A 17,795-nucleotide genomic window follows, 5' to 3' on the forward strand; every position below is an offset into this window, starting at 1 on the left:
TTCCTCTGTGATATTGAGACACAGCGTCCAATAGTTTTCCAACGGAATAGCTTTTCTTACCTGGGAATGTCCCCCCCAGATAGTTGACACTCAGGAACAGCACGGAACAATAATGGCTCTGCCTCTGTCTCATCATCTTCTTGGAAAAAATGTGAGATGTCACAAAGGGTCTCAGAAACACAGGGTAGCTCCCTGTATACCCTGGAAAACAACAACAGAATTTTTACTATGAATATAAGGTAGGTGCCTGATGATAGCATAGGCTGTGCAGGAAGATTTTATGTTAATAGCCATAGACTCAATATTTTATCTTAGGGAAGTCATTCCTCAGGCCCCTACGACTCCATCTCACCTCTCAGACTCCCATGACTCTTTCTTACATCTCATTATGTTAAATTTAACTGGCTCTCTGTTTCCCACTATATGCTGCTCTTTCCATCCTAGGAAGCAGACGTCAGTCAGTTCTCAACATCTAGCATTTGCCACAAACATTGGTTTCATAATAGGTCAACAAGTATGTTGACCTATATAACCTTGCTAAGAATTTTAGGGAAAGGATGAGATTCCTAATTTGTAGTCTCCCTTCATCCATAATTGGTGCCCGAGAGAATAGGACCCTAAAATGATTGGGATTGCAGGGCATTAGTGAGATTGGGCATGTTTTATAAGAACCCATGGAACAGTTATCTCCTCTTCTCCCTTCTGCCTGCAAATGGTGAGAGGGGTTGCATAAAGCAACAAAAATGCTCACAGAAAAAGAAAATTATGGATATTGTACACACTTTCTTTTCCCATCAAGGATCCTTATTCAGATATGGAACATGAGAGTCCTATGCTAGATCCTTTTCTCTTCTTCATTTTTGAAGGCTTGGTGCTGTCCTCCTATGGCTGGCAGGAATCAAGATTGAGGTTAGGAGTGATGGAGTGTCCTTTATGCCAAGATATTCAATGGCCAATATGACAGCCACTAGCCACACCTGCCTATTTACATTTAGTTTTAAATTGTTAAATGTGAAAATCAGTTCCTCCTTTGAAGTAGCCATATTTCAAGTGCTCAAAAGCCACACGTGGCTCTTGCCTGCCACCATGTAAGACATGCCTTTGCTCCTCCTTTGACTTCTGCCATGATGGTGAGGCCTCCCCAGCCACGTGAAACTAAAAGAATTTTTCTGGGTAATGGACATAGGCATAGGACGTCTGGCAACAAAATCTGCTTTGAAGAGGACTCCAGGGAATAGAGATGAGGTCTCAGGCTGGTCTTGAATTCCCGGCCCCAAGAAATCCTTCCACCTTGGCATCCCAAAGCACTGGGATTACAGTCATGAGCCACCGCACCCAGCCTGAGCATTACTGTTTGATAGATATTCCCAAATCACTCTCCACAAAAGGTTACAACAGTGAACACTTCCATCAGCTGAATATCTGTGAAAGCAATTGTTGAGAGATTTTGAAGTAAGTTCAAAACCAAACTGTAGAAAAAAATCATTGACAAAAAAGGAAAGCAAAAAAAAAGAAAGAAAATAACTGAGGAATTATTACTGAAGACAACTTTTGTCTAAAAAAAAAAAAGAACATTTGTTTGCAATGTAAAATCGGGTTTCAGCTGGAAAATTAAGCCTGTTAAAAACATCAACAACAAGAGCAAAAATCCTGAATATTTTTTCAGCAATTCTGATTAAAGTATGTATGTTAAAAAAAGAAAAAGCCATGTGAGGCCAGTGGCTTTCACACTGGACACCACAGACAGGGAACATTTCCATCCTGGGTGAGAACTCTATTGGACAGCATTGACTTTAGAACCTCTGCTGTAGTCCAGTTGACCAGAGGGTCCTGCCTTGGGCTATCTGCCATTGGTTTCATTTCTATTTTTATTTTTATTTTTTAAATTGAGACAGAGTCTGGCTCTGTTGCCCAGGCTGGAGTGCAGTGGCATGATCTTGGCTCACTGCAACCTCTGCCTCCCGGGTTCAAGCTATTCTCCTGCCTCAGCGTCCCCAATAGCTGGGATTACAGGCATGCACCAGCACACCCGGTTAATTTTTTATATTTTTGGTAGAGACAGGGTTTCATCATGTTGGCCAGGCTGGTCTCCAACTCCTGACCTCAAGTGAACCACCCGCCCTGGCCTCCCAAAGTCCTGGGATTACACCTGTGAGCCACCGCACCCAGTCTGGGATAGGTTTTATTAAACAAAGTAGTTCTTTAAGCTCTACCATCCATGGTCCCCGGCGTGCAGCACTGCTTTTAAAATATCCCATGTTAAATGGGTGCATGGACCAAGCAAGACTGAGGAATTCCTGTCCTCATTAGCAGTGCTTTTCAGCCTGTGAAATATCACCCTGAAATAAAATCTATACCTGAGTTAACAGTACTGTATCAACATCAGTTTCCTGGTATTAGCAATGACTGTTTGTATTGGGTCATTCTGGTTTTTTTGTTTTTTGTTTTTTTGATGGAGTTTTGCTCTTGTTGCCCAGGCTAGAGTGCAATGGCGTGATCTTGGCTCACTGCAACCTCTGCCTCCCGAGTTCAAGCAATTATCCTGCCTCAAGCCTCCTGAGTAGCTGGGATTACAGGCATGCGCCACCAAGCCCGGCTAATTCTGTATTTTTAGTAGAGATGGGGGTTCCTCCATGTTGGTCAGGCTGGTTTCAAACTCCCGACATCAGGTGGTCCGCCCCTCTCAGCCTCCCAAAGTGCTGGGATTACAGGAGTGAGACACCGCGCCTGGCCTGTATTGGGTCATTCTTGCATTGCTATAGAGGACTGTCTGAGACTAGGCAATTTACAAAGAAAAGAGGTTTAATTGGCTCATGGTGCTGCAGGATGTACATCATGGGACCAGCTTCTGCTTGGTTTCTGGGAGGCCTCAGGGACGTTTAACTCATGGTGGAAGGTGAAGTGGAACAGGCCTGTCATATGATGTCAGCAGGAGCAAGACAGTGAAGGGGGAGGTGCCACACACTTTTAAAGAACCAGATCTTGCATGAACTCAGAGTAAGAAGCCACTTATCACCAAAGGAATGGTGCTAAACCATTTATGAGGGATATGCCCCCTTGATCCATTCACCTCCCTCCAGGCCCCACCTCCAACACTCCATCACATTTCAGCATGAGATTTGGAAGGGACAAACATCCAAATCATATCGCTATTGTTACAGGAAGTATTATCGGCTGGGTGCAGCGACTCACGCCTGTAATCCCAGCACTTTGGGAGGCTGAGGCAGGAGGATCACTTGAGGTCAGGAGTTTGAGACCAGCCTGGCCAACATGGTGAAACCCCGTATCTACTAAAAATACAAAAATTAGCCAGGTGTGGTAGTGGGCACCTGTAATTCCAGCTACTTGGGAGGCTGAGGCAAAAGAATCGCTTGAACCCCAGAAGCAGAGGTTGTAGTGAGCCAAGATCGTGCCACTGCACTCCAGCCTGGGCAACAGAGCAAGACTTCGTCTCAAAAAAAAAAGAAAAAAAGTATTATCGTGAGGGGAAACTTGGTGAAGGCTACATGGGAACTCTGCCCTTCTCTCCCAACTACTTTATCATTAATATTGTTATTATTTTTTTTGAGACAAAGCCTCACTCTGTCTCCCAGGCTGGAGTGCAGTTGCACGATCTCGGCTCACTGCAACCTCCGCCTCCCAGGTTTGAGCAATTCTCCTGCCTCAGCCTCCTGAGTAGCTGGGATTACAGGTGTGGGCCACTATGCCCAGCTGATTTTTGTATTTTTAGTAGAGATGGGGTTTCACCATGTAGGCCAGGCTGGTCTCAAACTTTTGACCTCAGGCGATCCACCTGCCCTCGCCTCCCAGTGTGCTGAGATTACAGGTGTGAGCCACTGGGCTCAGACCTTTTTTCCCTACTTCTTATGAGATACAAACTCTTTTGAAATAAAAACTTAAGATAACAAAGAAGAAAAGTAACATATATACTAATTTTTATGCAAATAACCTGCATGTCTTTGCTTCTTATGAATGTACATAAACCAATGGAGCAAAATTCCAAATCTTTAATTTTTTCCCAACAAATAGATGTCCCTTACGTATCATTTGTCACACAGGCCTCAGCCTGAAAAAAAATTCCAGTTTTTGTGTATTGCAGTTCCCGTATGCTATTGTCAACCAACAGTTTCCGTGATCCTTGTAGTCTAATGAGTTTGGATGCATCTATGTTCCTACTGGATCCACTGTCCCTGGGAAAACACAAATGGAATTGGAATGTGAGCATGTCAGAGGAGCTCGATGGTGGGACAATCTCCTCACTGTGATGTAGCGAAAGTAGCCCGATCCTTAGAGATATCCATCCTTAGACATGCCCATCCATAGAGATGCCATCCTTAGAGATATCCATCCTTAGACATGCCCATCCATAGAGATGCCATCCTTAGAGACATCCATCCTTAGACATGCCCATCCATAGAGATGCCATCCTTAGAGATACTATCCTTAGAGATGCCATCCTCAGAGATGTCTTAGAGATGCCCATTCTTAGAGACACCTTCTTCGATGCCCATGCTAGAATAAAATACCATTCCTCCACATTTTTATTGAACTAACTGCATTGCTGTTACCACTTCGTAGACAATGATCTTATCTCAGGAGGCATGCCTCCTTTGATTCTCAATCCCTGATGTTCATCACGGTCTGTCACACTTGGTGATGCTCGCTACTGGCTTCTGAAAGGATACTGTGTTTTTGTAAACTATAGGAGCATAACAAGGGCCCCACTCTTCTATCCTTCGTTGGTCCTAAACAGGAGGGAATGTTAACCAGATGAAGTTGTTTGCACAACACTGAATGGACTGAGCTTATTTGAAGGTAGGATCTCTTTATTTAGTGTGAGCGTGTCAGGGATGATGGACACTAGAGTGATCTGCATTCACTGCCTTTCACAGACATCACTCAGCAGTGACAGACCTGTCAAAGTTGTTGCTTAACCTCTCTGAGTATCAGCTTTCTAATTTGTAAAATAAGGATACAGTACTCTCGTCACAAATCCTTGTGGTGATTAATCATAGAAGGCTAAAATTACTTAGCGCAAGAGTTGGAAACACTGGGTTCCCAAAGCAAACAATTCGTCCTAGTCCGTGGTCTTTTATGCATGCCAGATCATCTGTCTCAGTCATTTCAGACTTTTTTTTTTTTTTTTTTTTGAGACAGAGTTTCACTGTTGTCGCCCAGGCTGGAGTGCAATGGAGCGATCTTGGCTCACTGCAACCTCCACCTCCCAGGTTCAAGCGATTCTCGTGCCTCAGCCTCCCGAGTAGCTGGGATTACAAGTGCCCGCCACCATGCCCAGCTAATTTTTATATTTGTAGTAGAGATGGGGTTTCACCATGTTGGCCAGACTGGTCTCGAACTCCTGACATCAGGTGATCTGCCCGCCTCCGCCTCCCAAAGTGCTCGGATTACAGGCGTGAGTCACCATGCCTGGCCAAGGTTGCTATTTTTAAAACCTATGGACTGAGAAGCTTGTGAACAATATAAATGTATTTGTCACAGCTCTGGATGCTGGAAAGCCCAGGATCAAGGTGCTGGTAGATCAGTGTCTGCTCCTGATTCATAGAGGGCAGACTTCTTGTTCTGTCCAAGCATGGGGAAAGAGAAAGGAGCTCTCCAGGGTTCCTTCATGAGGGAACTAATTCCATTCATGAGGGCGCTACCTTTATCACCTGACACCTCTCAAAGGCCCCATCTCCTAACAACATCACATTGGAAGTTAGGATTTCAACATATTAATATTGGAAGAACACAAACATTCATTCTGCAGCAGTGTCTGAATTGCATACATGAAATATTTGGTCAGATTAATTTGTTTTGAGTTCCAAGACAATGTAAAACAGTGCATTCATTTTCTACAAATGAGACATAAACCTGGTGCTGATGAGGAGCCACTGAAACACACAGAGGGAGGGCTTAGTGAGTCAGGCTGCTTGGTTCTGCTCTGATCTGGGCGCCATGCTATGGGATTGTCAAGAGCGTGGTCAAGGCCATAGGCCCATGCATCAAGGAAAGAGCTGGAAGAACAGCCCTAGACTCGCTTTTGCTCAGGTATGAAGTTGCCATGGTCAGAATCAAGGAAGGAGAGAGAAGGTCTAAAAAGGTCAGAAACAGGGAAGGAGAGAGAAGGTCTAAAAAGTACACCTGGGCCAGGCGCAGTGGCTCACTCCTGTAATCCCAGCACTTTGGGAGGCCGAGGTGGGTGGATCACCTGAGGTCAGGAGGTCCAGACCAGCCTGGTCAACATGATGAAACCCCGTCTCTACTAAAAATACAAAAAGTAGCCAGGCGTGGTGGTGCATGCCTGTAATCCCAGCTACTTGGGAGGCTGAGGCAGAAGAATCGCTTGAACCCAGGAGGCAGAGGTTGTAGTGAGCTGAGATGGTACCAGCGCACTCTGGCCTGGGCAACAAAACAAGACTCTGTGTCAAAAAAAAAAAAAAAGTACACCTGGGTGCCCATGGGAGTTTTCCCTTCATTCATGCAGAGATGGGTGAATGAATAAAATGTGAGCAGAACCTTTCTTCCAGAAAACATCCATGGTCCTCTGTATCTCATGAACTATAACGAAACACAGAAGAATCAGCCATCAGGAGCCCTCACAGAGCGCAAAGTCACTCACCGTCTCGGCAGCTCTTCCTCACTGCTGCTACTCTTTTCTGGACACTCCTTTTTTTCCATTTGTCAAATGTGGTATTTATGTCTTTACTGTATCTTTTTTACCCTGAAAAAATAAAAGGAGGTTGTATTTAGGTACTTGGGAAGAACCATCAGATAAATCTTAGCTTCTGTGTCTCTCAAAGGTTGACAAAAGCGCTTATTGCTCATTCACAAGAGATGCATCAGTGGAATTGCTCCTAGTAGTGGTAGGTACTTGGGACAGAGGCCGAAACAGGAGAGTTGTAAAACAGAAACTAGAAACTTCCTTTTTTTTTAGATGGAGTCTAGCTCTGTCACCCAGGCTGGAGTGCAATGGCGAGATCTTGACTCACAGCAACCTCCACCTCCCGGGTTCAAGCGATTCTCCTGCCTCAGCCTCCTGAGTAGCTGGGATTACAGGCATGCGCCACCATACCCGGCTAATTTTTCTATTTTTAGTATAGACAGGGTTTCTCCATGTTGGTCAGGCTGGTCTCAAACTCCCAACCTCAGGTGATCGGCCCGTCTCGGCCTCCCAAAGTGCCGGATTGCAGGCGTGAGCCACCGTGCCCTGCCGGATTTTTCAAATTCTTTTATTTTTGATGTGGCCCTGGGTCTGCAAGTTAAGTTATGCAGAACAGGAACTTCTAAAGATTCCAACCTGACAGAGGCAAAAGTGTGATTATTTTCCTTGCCTTCCATTCTTCTCTCGTACAACTCTAATCGTTTTTCTTGCCTAAATTGTCACCTTGATTTCTTTAAAATACTTGGGTTTAGGAACCGTTGTCTAATCCATTACCTTCACCGGCTCTGCTATGACATTTTTTAAAGATTAGATTTTTAAAATAATGGCTTTATGGATATATAGTTCACAAACCACACAATTCACCCACATAAGTCTACAATTCAATGTTGTATATATAGTAATGAAGTTGTACAACCACCACCACAATCAGTTTTAGGACAGCGTCATCACCTCAAAAAGAAACTCATTAAGCGGCACTCCCCATTCCCCACAGGCACGCACACCCAGCCACAGGCACCCACGCATCCACCTTCTGTCTCCATAGGTTGACTCATTCTGGACATTTGATTTAATAGGAGTTGTTATGGACCGAATGTATGTGTCCACCCTCAAGTTCATGTGTTGAAATCCTAACTCCAAATGTGATGATAGGAGGAGATGGGGCCTTCGGGAGGTGATGAGGTCATGAGGGTGGAATCCTCATGAATGGTCTCAACGCCCTTAGCAAAGAGACCCCAGAGACCTCGCTCCCGCTTTCTACCGTGGGAGGGCGCAGCAAGAAGTCAGCCGTCTATGAACAAGGAAGCAGGTCCTCTCCAGGCACTGAATGTACCAGTGCCTTGATCGTGGACTTCCCAGCCTCCAGAACTGTGAGAAATAAATTCTGTTGTTTAAGCCACATAGTCTATGATACTTTTGTTAAAGAAGCCCAAAGTGACTAAGACAGGCATCAAACAATATATTGTCCTTTGTGATGGATTCTTTCACTTCCCGTATGTTTTCAAGGTCCATCCATATTATACCGCATAACAGCACCTCCTTTGCTTTCATGGCTGAATAATATTCCACCGTATGGAGACATCACATATTCTCTTATCCATTCAGCAGACGATAGACATTTGGGTGAGTTCCACTTTGGGGCTGTTATGAAAAATGATACTGTGAATATTCAGGTACGAATTTCCATGTGGACAGATTATTTCCTTCTCTTGGGTACATACTTAGGAGTGGAGTTGCTGGGTCATATGGTAACTCTATGTTTACCCTTCAAGGAACTGCCAGACTGTTTTCCAAAGCGCCAATTTCCGTGCTCGCTTCGGCAGCACATATACCAAAGCGCCAATCTCCATTCCCACCAGCAGTGTAGGAGGGGGCCAGCTTCTCCATATCCTCACCTATAATTGTTATTATGGGCCTTTTGAAAATGGCCATTCTAGTACATGTAAAGTGATAAGTTATTGTGATTTTTGAAGATTAACTTTTATATAATAATAAAAATACATATTATTAATAGCATTTCAGAGACTCTGGATAACAGAAAAGATAATTAGTGAAATACAAATCATTAATTTGTAATTAGTCACCAGGCTGCTCCACCTCCCAGGTTCAAGCGATTTTCCTGCCTCAGCCTCCTGAGCAGCTGGGACTACATGCGTGAGCCATGACGCCTGGCTAATTTTTTTGTATTTTTAGTAGAGACGGGGTTTCACCGTGTTAGCCAGGATGGTCTCGATCTCCTGACCTGGTGATCCTCCCGCCTCAGCCTCTCAAAGTGCTGGGATTACAGACGTGAGCCATTGCCCCTGGCCCAGAGAAATAATCTAAAGATTTGAATTCCAAAACCCTATACAAATGTTTTATTTTACCACCACTGAATTTATCTGCAATAACTGAATGTCTATTTATATGCATAATAATCACTCACAGGTTCCAACTAAACAAATATTTCTATCCAATTTTCAATAAAAATATTAAAATCTGCATATTTAATTTATTCATGTTTAATTATTATGCTTCTCACAGCCTGCGAAAAATTTAATTTAGCTATCCTCTGAACTACAAGCTTTTCCTTTGTTATAACGAACACTTTTCTTTTACTTAAGTATCGTTATTCCAGAGTTAATATAGTATGCATTCAAATTACTTCTTATTTAGTATTATTTTACCTAGTACCATTATATATTTAATTTTTTCTCATGAAGCCAGGCACAGTGGTTTGTGCCTGTAGTCCCAGCTACTCAGGAGGCTGAAGTGACAGGATCCCTTGATCCCAGGAGATTAAGGTCGCAGTGAGCTATGATGGCGCCGCTGCATTCCAGTCTGGGCGACAAAGCAATACCTCATTTCAAGAAACGAAATGGAATTTTTTCCTTATAAGAATCTTAAAGAAGGTGTACATTATCTTGGCTAACTTTCTATAGGATTAAGTAGAAGTTATTGAGACTTGGTCTACAGTCTTCTTTTTTTCATGAGTCAAAAAGCATCTCTCACTTTAGTTACACCTGTATTAGGAGAGTTATGATCAATTACAGCAGTTGTAGTTTCTGAGAACTTGGATAAATACAAACCTGAATTACACAGAATTTATGTAAATCCAGATATTCAAAAATGAGAAATAATGTAATATATGACCAAAGTAATATCAAGACAACATACAATTAAATCACTCAACAATTACTGGGAATATGTATCAAGGCAAGAATTGTAAAATTCTACCTGGTACTTCTGAAATGAACAAGGCAATGAGAAATAACAGTTTATCTTGTCTATTACTGAGTATCAATGAAAGCAATAAGGTGAACGGAAAAGTCCATGAAAACTCCATTTTCAGAATAATGAGGAGACAGATTTAATTCACAGATCCAAATGTTTCTCACCGGCTGACAAAACTGTGTTAAGTCAGGGTGAAGCATGGCGGAGGAACAGGGAGGAAGTGCAGAGTGAGAAAACATAAAGAAGTCAGGAAGTGCCAGAGGAGTAATTTCCTGTGAGTAAAGCCTCATACTCGGTGATTTATCTATAGAGTTTGAATACAAGAGCTGTGAGGTCTGGGCAGGTAGAGTGGAGGCTGAGCAGGAGATAAATGTGGTAGAGGCGGTGTGGATCCTTGAAAACAGAGAAATGCCCTAATGTGACAGAGTACAGAAATACTACAAAAACACACTTGTAGAAAGAACATTCTGCATATAATCAGGCATGGAACGGTCCCATGCATTCCATAATAATTAAGAAAAAGATATTACCAGAGCATTGCTTAAAGGCACTACAAGAAAATAGGTGAGAAGACCAGGAAGTTGTTGTTTTTTGTTTTGTTTTGTTTTAGATAAAGAACAATCAAAGGAAAATGATGGACCCAAGTTAACAATCACTCTTGGGGGGAAAAAAACTCCACCCACAATTCCTAAGTAAAAAGGATTACACACATTCTCGGCATAATATGTCTCTCTCAGGCCAAAGGATAACCTTGTGCTTCATGTGGACACTATGAAATCATTCCAGCTGAAGTCAGGAAAATACCAAGACCTTCCCTATTTAAGTTAAAATATCGGAAGCTTATTCCAAAATATTGGACAAATTCCAAATACAGTGATTGAAAGGAAGGAGATTAAACTATAACTCACTACACGTTATTTTCCTCTATAGAGAAACATAACGAATCACCTGAAATAAGCTACAAAAGTAAGATAAACCAGTAAGTTAGAGAAAGAATCTTTTTTTTTCTTTGAGACGGGGCCTCCCTCTGTCGCTCAGGCTGTAGAGAAGTGGCACAATCTCGGCTCACTGCAACCTCTGCATCCTGGGTTCAAGTGATTCTCCTGCCTTAGCCTCCCAAGTAGCTGCGATTACAGACATGCACCACCATGCCTGGCTAATTTTTTTTGTATTTTTAGTAGAGATGGGGTTTCACCATGTTGGATAGGCTGGTCTCAAACTTCTGACCTCAGGTGATCCGCCCACCTCAGCCTCCCAAAGTGCTGGGATTACAGGTGTCAGCCACCGCACCAGCCAGAAGAATCTTAATATACAAAAGTGAATAGCTTCTTAATATAACAGACTATCCCAATTCCATGAAAGAAGAAAATACACTCATTAAAATAGCAACTATGGTACCTAGAACTAAACTATACAAAAAAACTACATGACCCATATAATGCTTTTATTTTGAAATAATTTTAAACATTGAAAAATAGCAAAGATTCACATAAATCCTCAACCAGCTTATCTGAATGTTAGCTATATATAATTGTATTATATATAAAATAATTGTTATATATAAAATAACTAATTTATTGTATTGTATATTGTATTATATATACATTTATTGTATTATATATAAATAATTGCATATCTACATTTAATATATTATATATAATATACAATTGTATATGCAATTGTAATATGATAATTACATATATAATAGTATATATAATACAATTATCCAACCAGGAAATTGATGTTAGCATATCATACCATTACTTAATGTGCAGACCTTATTTGAATTTTATCAACATTTGTCTGAATGTCCTCTTTGTTCTCCAAGATCTAATCGAGGATCTCACATTGCACTTACTTGTTATCCCTCCTTAGATTCCTCCAGTCTGTGACCGTTTCTTATTCTTCCCTTGTCTTTTGTGATTGTGACATTTTTGCGGAACATGGTCAACTATTTTACAGAATGTTTATCAATTTGGATTTCTTTGATGTTTTCTCACGATTAGGCTGAGGTCATGCATGTTTGTCTTCTGTGTTCAGTCAACATGCCCCGTCCTTTTTGGAATATTTCTTCATGTTCTGGAGTCACAATTTGTTCCAATGTTATCCTATATACTCCTGCCCCAGCCCTGGAAGTAACCACTTCTCCACGGATCCTTGGCTCCCTTGTATTCAAAAACAGTATTTAGAAACCAAGATCTGGAAACTATGTGTGTTTACAGCTACTAAGATATCTTTGTCCTAATCTCTCTCAGTGGAAAGACCTGGGGAATCCATGCATGTATACCGAACTGTGCCTACACATGCCTGTATTTACTTCTCGATAGATAGACTGACAAACAGATAGACAAATAGAGCAGAGCAAAGAGCTATTCTGATACATGAAATAGAAAATCAATAATAAAAAAAAACATTGCTCTAGAAATAGGTAGACAAAGGATATGAACATGAAATTCACAGAAATGGAAAAATAAATGGTTCCCAAGCACGTGCTGAATGAAAAAACACCATGCTGAATGAAGATTAAAGCTACTCTTGAATATTTTTTCTCCATGAATTTGGAAATCATGCGAAAGTCTGAAAACTCATCTACTGACAAGGCTGTGGGAAATCTGACATTCTGATATTGCTGATGGGAGTGTCACCTGCTATTCATTATATGGATGGCAACTTTATGGACATCTTTGAACGCATAAATGACATCCCATTTGGAATGGTAAATCAATTTTGAGGAATTGATATACTCCTATACAAATATACTTACCTATGTATGAACTCATGCTCACATGTTTACTCACTGTGGCACTCTTCATAAATACAATTGAGGCCAGGCGCTATGGCTCAAGCCTGTAATCACCACACCTTGAGAGGCCAAGCCGGGTAGATCACTTGAGGTCAGGAGTTCGAGACCAGCCTGGCCAACAAGGTGAAACCCCGTCTCTACGAAAAATACAAAAATTACCTGGGTGTGGTGGCATGGGCCTGTAATTTCAGCTACTCGGGAGGGTGAGGCAGGAGAATCGCTTGAACCAAGAAGTCATAGGTTGCAGTGAGCCAAAATGGTGCCACTGCACTCCAGCCTGGGTGACACAGCAAGACTCCATCTCAAAAATTAAAAGTAAAATAAAATAAACTAAAATTTGAAACAACTGAAATGTTTTTCAATAGGGGAATGAATAAAGACATCATGATACATCCGATGATGAAATAATATGCAATTTTAAAAGAATGTCAAAGTTCACTAAAAACTGATACTGAATTATCACTAAGATCTATTGTTAATGAAGAAAGGCATAGTAAACAACATGTAAACTTTCTACTCTTCAAGTAAAGAGTAAAAATTTGTATATGCATAAAGAAACTCTGGATATATATATATACAGTAACACCACAGTACATATTCAACTGTGTTTGGGGAGCAGACTATGTGAATTTATTACCCTTTATAAAGTAAACAAATGGTTTAAAAACCTCCACCTAAAATTTTCACACGCAAAATTTTATATATATATACTATACTTTCATGACACTATGTTATTGTATATATATATATATATATATACACACACACACAATGCTTCCATTTGTTTTGATGTCACACAAGCAAAATTAAATTACACTAAATTTTAAATTTTAACATTAAAATACACATGATTTTTACCATTTGTGATACACATTGTATCATATGTATTCTCAATTGAAATTTCAATTAAAATTCAGTTACCACTCATCAAATTTTACTATGACTATTTCAACTGAAAACATTTTCATATTGCATTTAAAAAGTTTTGACGGTTTACTTTTATTTTAGAAATCAAATTATTTCATGAAAACCAAATACTCTTCACCTTAAATTGTCTTTTTTACTCCCATGAAAATCTGTATTCATCTTCACAAGAAAAAAATGCAAAATTACATTCTTTAAAGTTCAAATACTAAAATTCTTGTATAGTATTTTATGTGACATTGGAAATTTTAAAAAACATGTAATAAAAATCCCAGTCACGCATGAAGTTATAGCCTTGCCTGCACGTATTGCCTGTAGCCCCAGCCACCCGGAGGCCGAGGTGGGAGGATCACTTGGGTCCAAATGGCTGAGACCAGTCTGTGCCACACAGCGAAGCCCTGTCATTTAAAAAAAATTCCTAAACTTCCAAAAATTGGAATAAAATTCATTATTCCTTGACATATTGAAGAAACAAACAACAGAGAAATGAATTAATGATATAAATAAGGAATCAAAAGGATAAAACACAAATGTCCTGAAAAGATGTTAAAATTCACTAGTAATCAGGGGAATGTGCATGACAACCACTATCAGTTATCATTCTCACCCACAATACTGATGGAAATAAGAAAAGCTGACAAAATCAAGTGTGAATATGAATGTGTAGCAATGGAAACTCGTAAACCAGTAGTGGAGATGACTGAAAACACAGCCGCTTTGGAGAATAAACTGGCTGTATCTAGACTTCAAGACACACCTACCCTTGAAATTATGTGTGGACAAGAAAATGCATATAAAAAGTCCATTGTATTATGGTTTGCTATCAGAAAACAGGGTAACAAACTGAATGTCCATCATCAAAGAATGGATACATTGATTATAATATCATCATTGCATTAATACTGTAGCGCAGTTAACATAAATTATTAAAACCACATGTAAACATGGATAAATATTTAAAATGTACTATTGGGCCGGGCACGGTGGCTCACGCCTGTAATCCCAACACTTTGGGAGGCCGAGGCGGGCGGATCACCTGAGATCAGGAGTTCGAAGCCAGACTGGCAACATAGTGAAACTCCGTCTCTACTAAAAATACAAAAATTAGTCGTGCGTGGTGGCGGGCGCCTGTCACCCCAGCTACTCGGGAGGCTGAGGCAGAAGAATCGCTTGAACCCGAGAGGTGGAGGTTGCAGTGAGCCGAGATCACACCACTGGACTCCAGCCTGGATGACAGAACGAGACTCCGTCTCAAAAAAAAAAAAAAGTAATATTGATTAAAAATCAAATTGCATGAGACTGCACAGCACGATACCAAGCAAATACAAGTTTTAAATATTACAGAAAATAATATTTAAAATACAAACCAAATACATAAATCATGCAGGGGGATTAAGACGTTTCTGGATAGTGGCAACAGCCGAGAGTGGCTGGATGAATTTCAGAGAAATTTCATATATTGCTTCAATTTTATTTAAAATATATTATTACCTATGTTTTAGATATTTTATTGTAAATAATGGGCAAGGATATTATAAACTCTGCAGAAGTAAGTGTAGTCGTGTTTTTTCCTACTCACATTGAAGATGGCCCAGATGCTTGCACTAACCGCGTTTACCGCCCACAGCCATCATGGCGACCGGAAGTCCTGAGAGCTTGTTTCCCTCGAATCTCAGACAGCCCTCCTTCTCTATGAACATTATTTCAAAAGAAGTTGAGAACTAGAGAAACCGAAGCTTAAGGGGATTCTCCCATTTGGCCTGTCCTCCCCTAAAGTCACCACCTGCTGCGTTTCTGCAGCGCTTACCATGTGAGTTTCAGGAGCCCCAGGGTGCAGGAAGGAGGAGCGGAGGCTTGTTGCTTGGACACTGCCAGGCTGCTCTGTGTTCTGTTCCTCTTGGTCACTTGAGAAGAAAGGGAGAAGTTCCTATGAGGCTGTCGGAAAGGGAAATGGGGCCCTCCGCTTGTTGAAAACAAAACAAAACCCTCAGGAAGCTTTGCATCCTGTTAGTCATAGCTTAAATTTATGACTTCAATGACTTGGCTGGGACAGTCTTAATCTCTCCATACTCAAGTTGTTTTAATTTCTGTAATAATAATTTTTATACCAATGTTTGTGTTGTTAATACTAATAATTTTACATTGTAACTGTAATCCTTTAATTATTACAAGTGTTAACCTAAATAACAAACATATGAAAGCTTCCTAAAGGAAACAGTGTTTATTTGGGAATAGAGCATTGCAATTGGGAATAGATATGCCATATTAAACTATGTATATATTCAGGAAGATAAAGGAAGACAGAAATGGGGAGGATTGCATATTGTTTTGACAGGATTTTCCTTGGCCACAGGATCAGGCACAAAGGTGACATTAGTCTGAGGTTGGACAGGCAGTTGCTGGGCAGCATTCCTTGCAGAAATATTTTTTGTTTAAGGTTGCAATGACCTTTATGCAAGGTTGTGGGTTTTGTAGAGTCTTTTTCATTTTCAAGCATACAAGGATAAGACCCCCCCTCTTCATGGCTTTCCTGGCTTTATTTGTCAGGGTCATCTTAACATTAGTGGCTCCATTTTGTTCTGACAACTTTCAGATTTCTCCTTGTGATCAAGAACTTTCTCTAAAAGCATTATTGATCAATCATTCTGTAATTAAGATTTGATGTCCCCTGATGCCAGCATGGACCTCTCCCAGTTTGCTGGTCTCATCCCATGTTGTGGGGAGTGACTGGTGACTAGGAATCGATGTCAAAAGCACATTTGAGCAACAAAAGAGATTTGAAGGATGTGGCTCTCAGGCTAAGTCTCCCTGGAGTCCATTAGTAAGTTCAATTTTGTCTGTTCTACAGTCTTTTGCTATCCCTTTAAAGTGCTGATTCAGTATTATTTTGTTAGGAGCTGCACCTCTGAAAAAATTTAACAAGTAACACATACAAAGTTTAAAAAGGAGAAATACAAAGTAAGGGGAAATACAAATTAAGAGCAATATGAGATTTTCAGTTTGCATATGGTTTTGAGCCATAAACCTAGGTTTAAAGACAACTAATTGAAGAACTCAAACAGTTATTCGAGACAGCAGGGAGTTAGGTGAGACCTGGGGTAACCACATGGCCTGCTTTCTTATTTTGTGTATAGGAGCCTCAACTTTTCTCAGAGGAATTTATTCAGGTATAGCATGTCGTATTAGCAACATCACAGACAATTTCTTGCTTAACCAATGGATACTAAAGAATTTTGTAGGTTGGGTTCTGTTAAGTTATAAGCAGAAGGAATTGATCATAAAATTTAAGTTACACCATTATTCTGCTAAGTAGAAAAGGTCGAATTAAGTGAGATGAAAGTCTCATTATGATATAGAGTCTTGTTTCAGCATCTTGCAGAAAGTTATACAGTGTGAAAACACCAACTTTTTCTCCTGGTTTGTAGTGTGAACGTCTCTGGTTATGATATTGGGCAGTTTGGTAAACTATTGTGTGATCCGCATATCAGCCTTGAGGTTTGTTCCCTCTTTCATTTTCCTCTGGATCACCAACATGCTAATCTACGTTCACATCACTGAAACCGTAGAGGCCAATACCAATTTCACCATTTCTGGTCCTGGATATTTGCAAGACTGTTGTCAAACTAGGCCATACATACAATAATTTAATATACATTTGGGGCTTGGATTATATTTCTGTTAAATTGCACTGCTCTATGGGACTTATTTTATTCATTCCACAAATATATTTTGCACATGTTCCTTATTCTTGGTACTATTTAATGGATTTGGCATACATCCGTGATCTAAACAGATAAAACTCCCCCAAGGATCATTTATAAATGTCATGGTGATTCGCCATGTCCTGTTTGTGTTCCTCATGGTCTGGACCAGCATCAACATGGCCAGTCTCCTCTGCAGACACCGGCGGAGAGCCCAGCGTCTGCACAGCCCTAGCCTCTCTTCCCAGCCATCTCCTGAACACAGAGCCACCCATACCATCCTCCTGCTGCTTGGTTGCTTTGTGTGCTTTTATTGCTCAAACAACTTCATCACTCTTTATTTCTTTTATAAATCTGAGAAAAAATCAAGACTAGAGATGATCACTGGAATTATTTCATCATGCTACCCAACCATCTGCCCTTTTGTGCTAATAAAAAATAATAAAATTATTTCCTAATTTACCTCTTCCTCTCTAAGACAAGAATGATCAGC

General features: G+C 40.6%; 1 protein-coding gene and 1 pseudogene across 21 annotated transcripts in view; one reads left to right on the forward strand and one right to left on the reverse strand.

Moving 5' to 3' along the window:
• The window catches only part of CARD8 (caspase recruitment domain family member 8), a 52,799-nt gene that overhangs the window by 31,195 nt on the left and 3,809 nt on the right, over window positions 1-17,795 (reverse strand). For 5 of the 21 annotated variants that reach the window (NM_001351787.2, NM_001351791.2, NM_001351788.2 and 2 more), the window contains 3 exons: window positions 15,409-15,505; window positions 6,620-6,721; window positions 61-201 (listed from right to left, as the gene is read on the reverse strand). In NM_001351787.2, the coding sequence (NP_001338716.1) occupies window positions 61-136 (76 nt within the window). In that variant the 5' untranslated portion in view covers window positions 137-201; window positions 6,620-6,721; window positions 15,409-15,505. Of the gene's footprint in view, window positions 1-60; window positions 202-3,918; window positions 4,191-6,619; window positions 6,722-7,691; window positions 8,303-11,732; window positions 12,040-15,180; window positions 15,292-15,408; window positions 15,537-17,795 lie in introns of those variants that run through there. The other 16 variants (NR_147707.1, NM_001351792.2, NM_001351784.2 and 13 more) reach the window with 10 other exon arrangements.
• VN1R97P (vomeronasal 1 receptor 97 pseudogene) lies at window positions 17,413-17,760 on the forward strand (annotated as a pseudogene).

Source organism: Homo sapiens, chromosome 19 (assembly GCF_000001405.40).
Source record: "Homo sapiens chromosome 19, GRCh38.p14 Primary Assembly".
Lineage (NCBI taxonomy): Eukaryota > Metazoa > Chordata > Mammalia > Primates > Hominidae > Homo > Homo sapiens.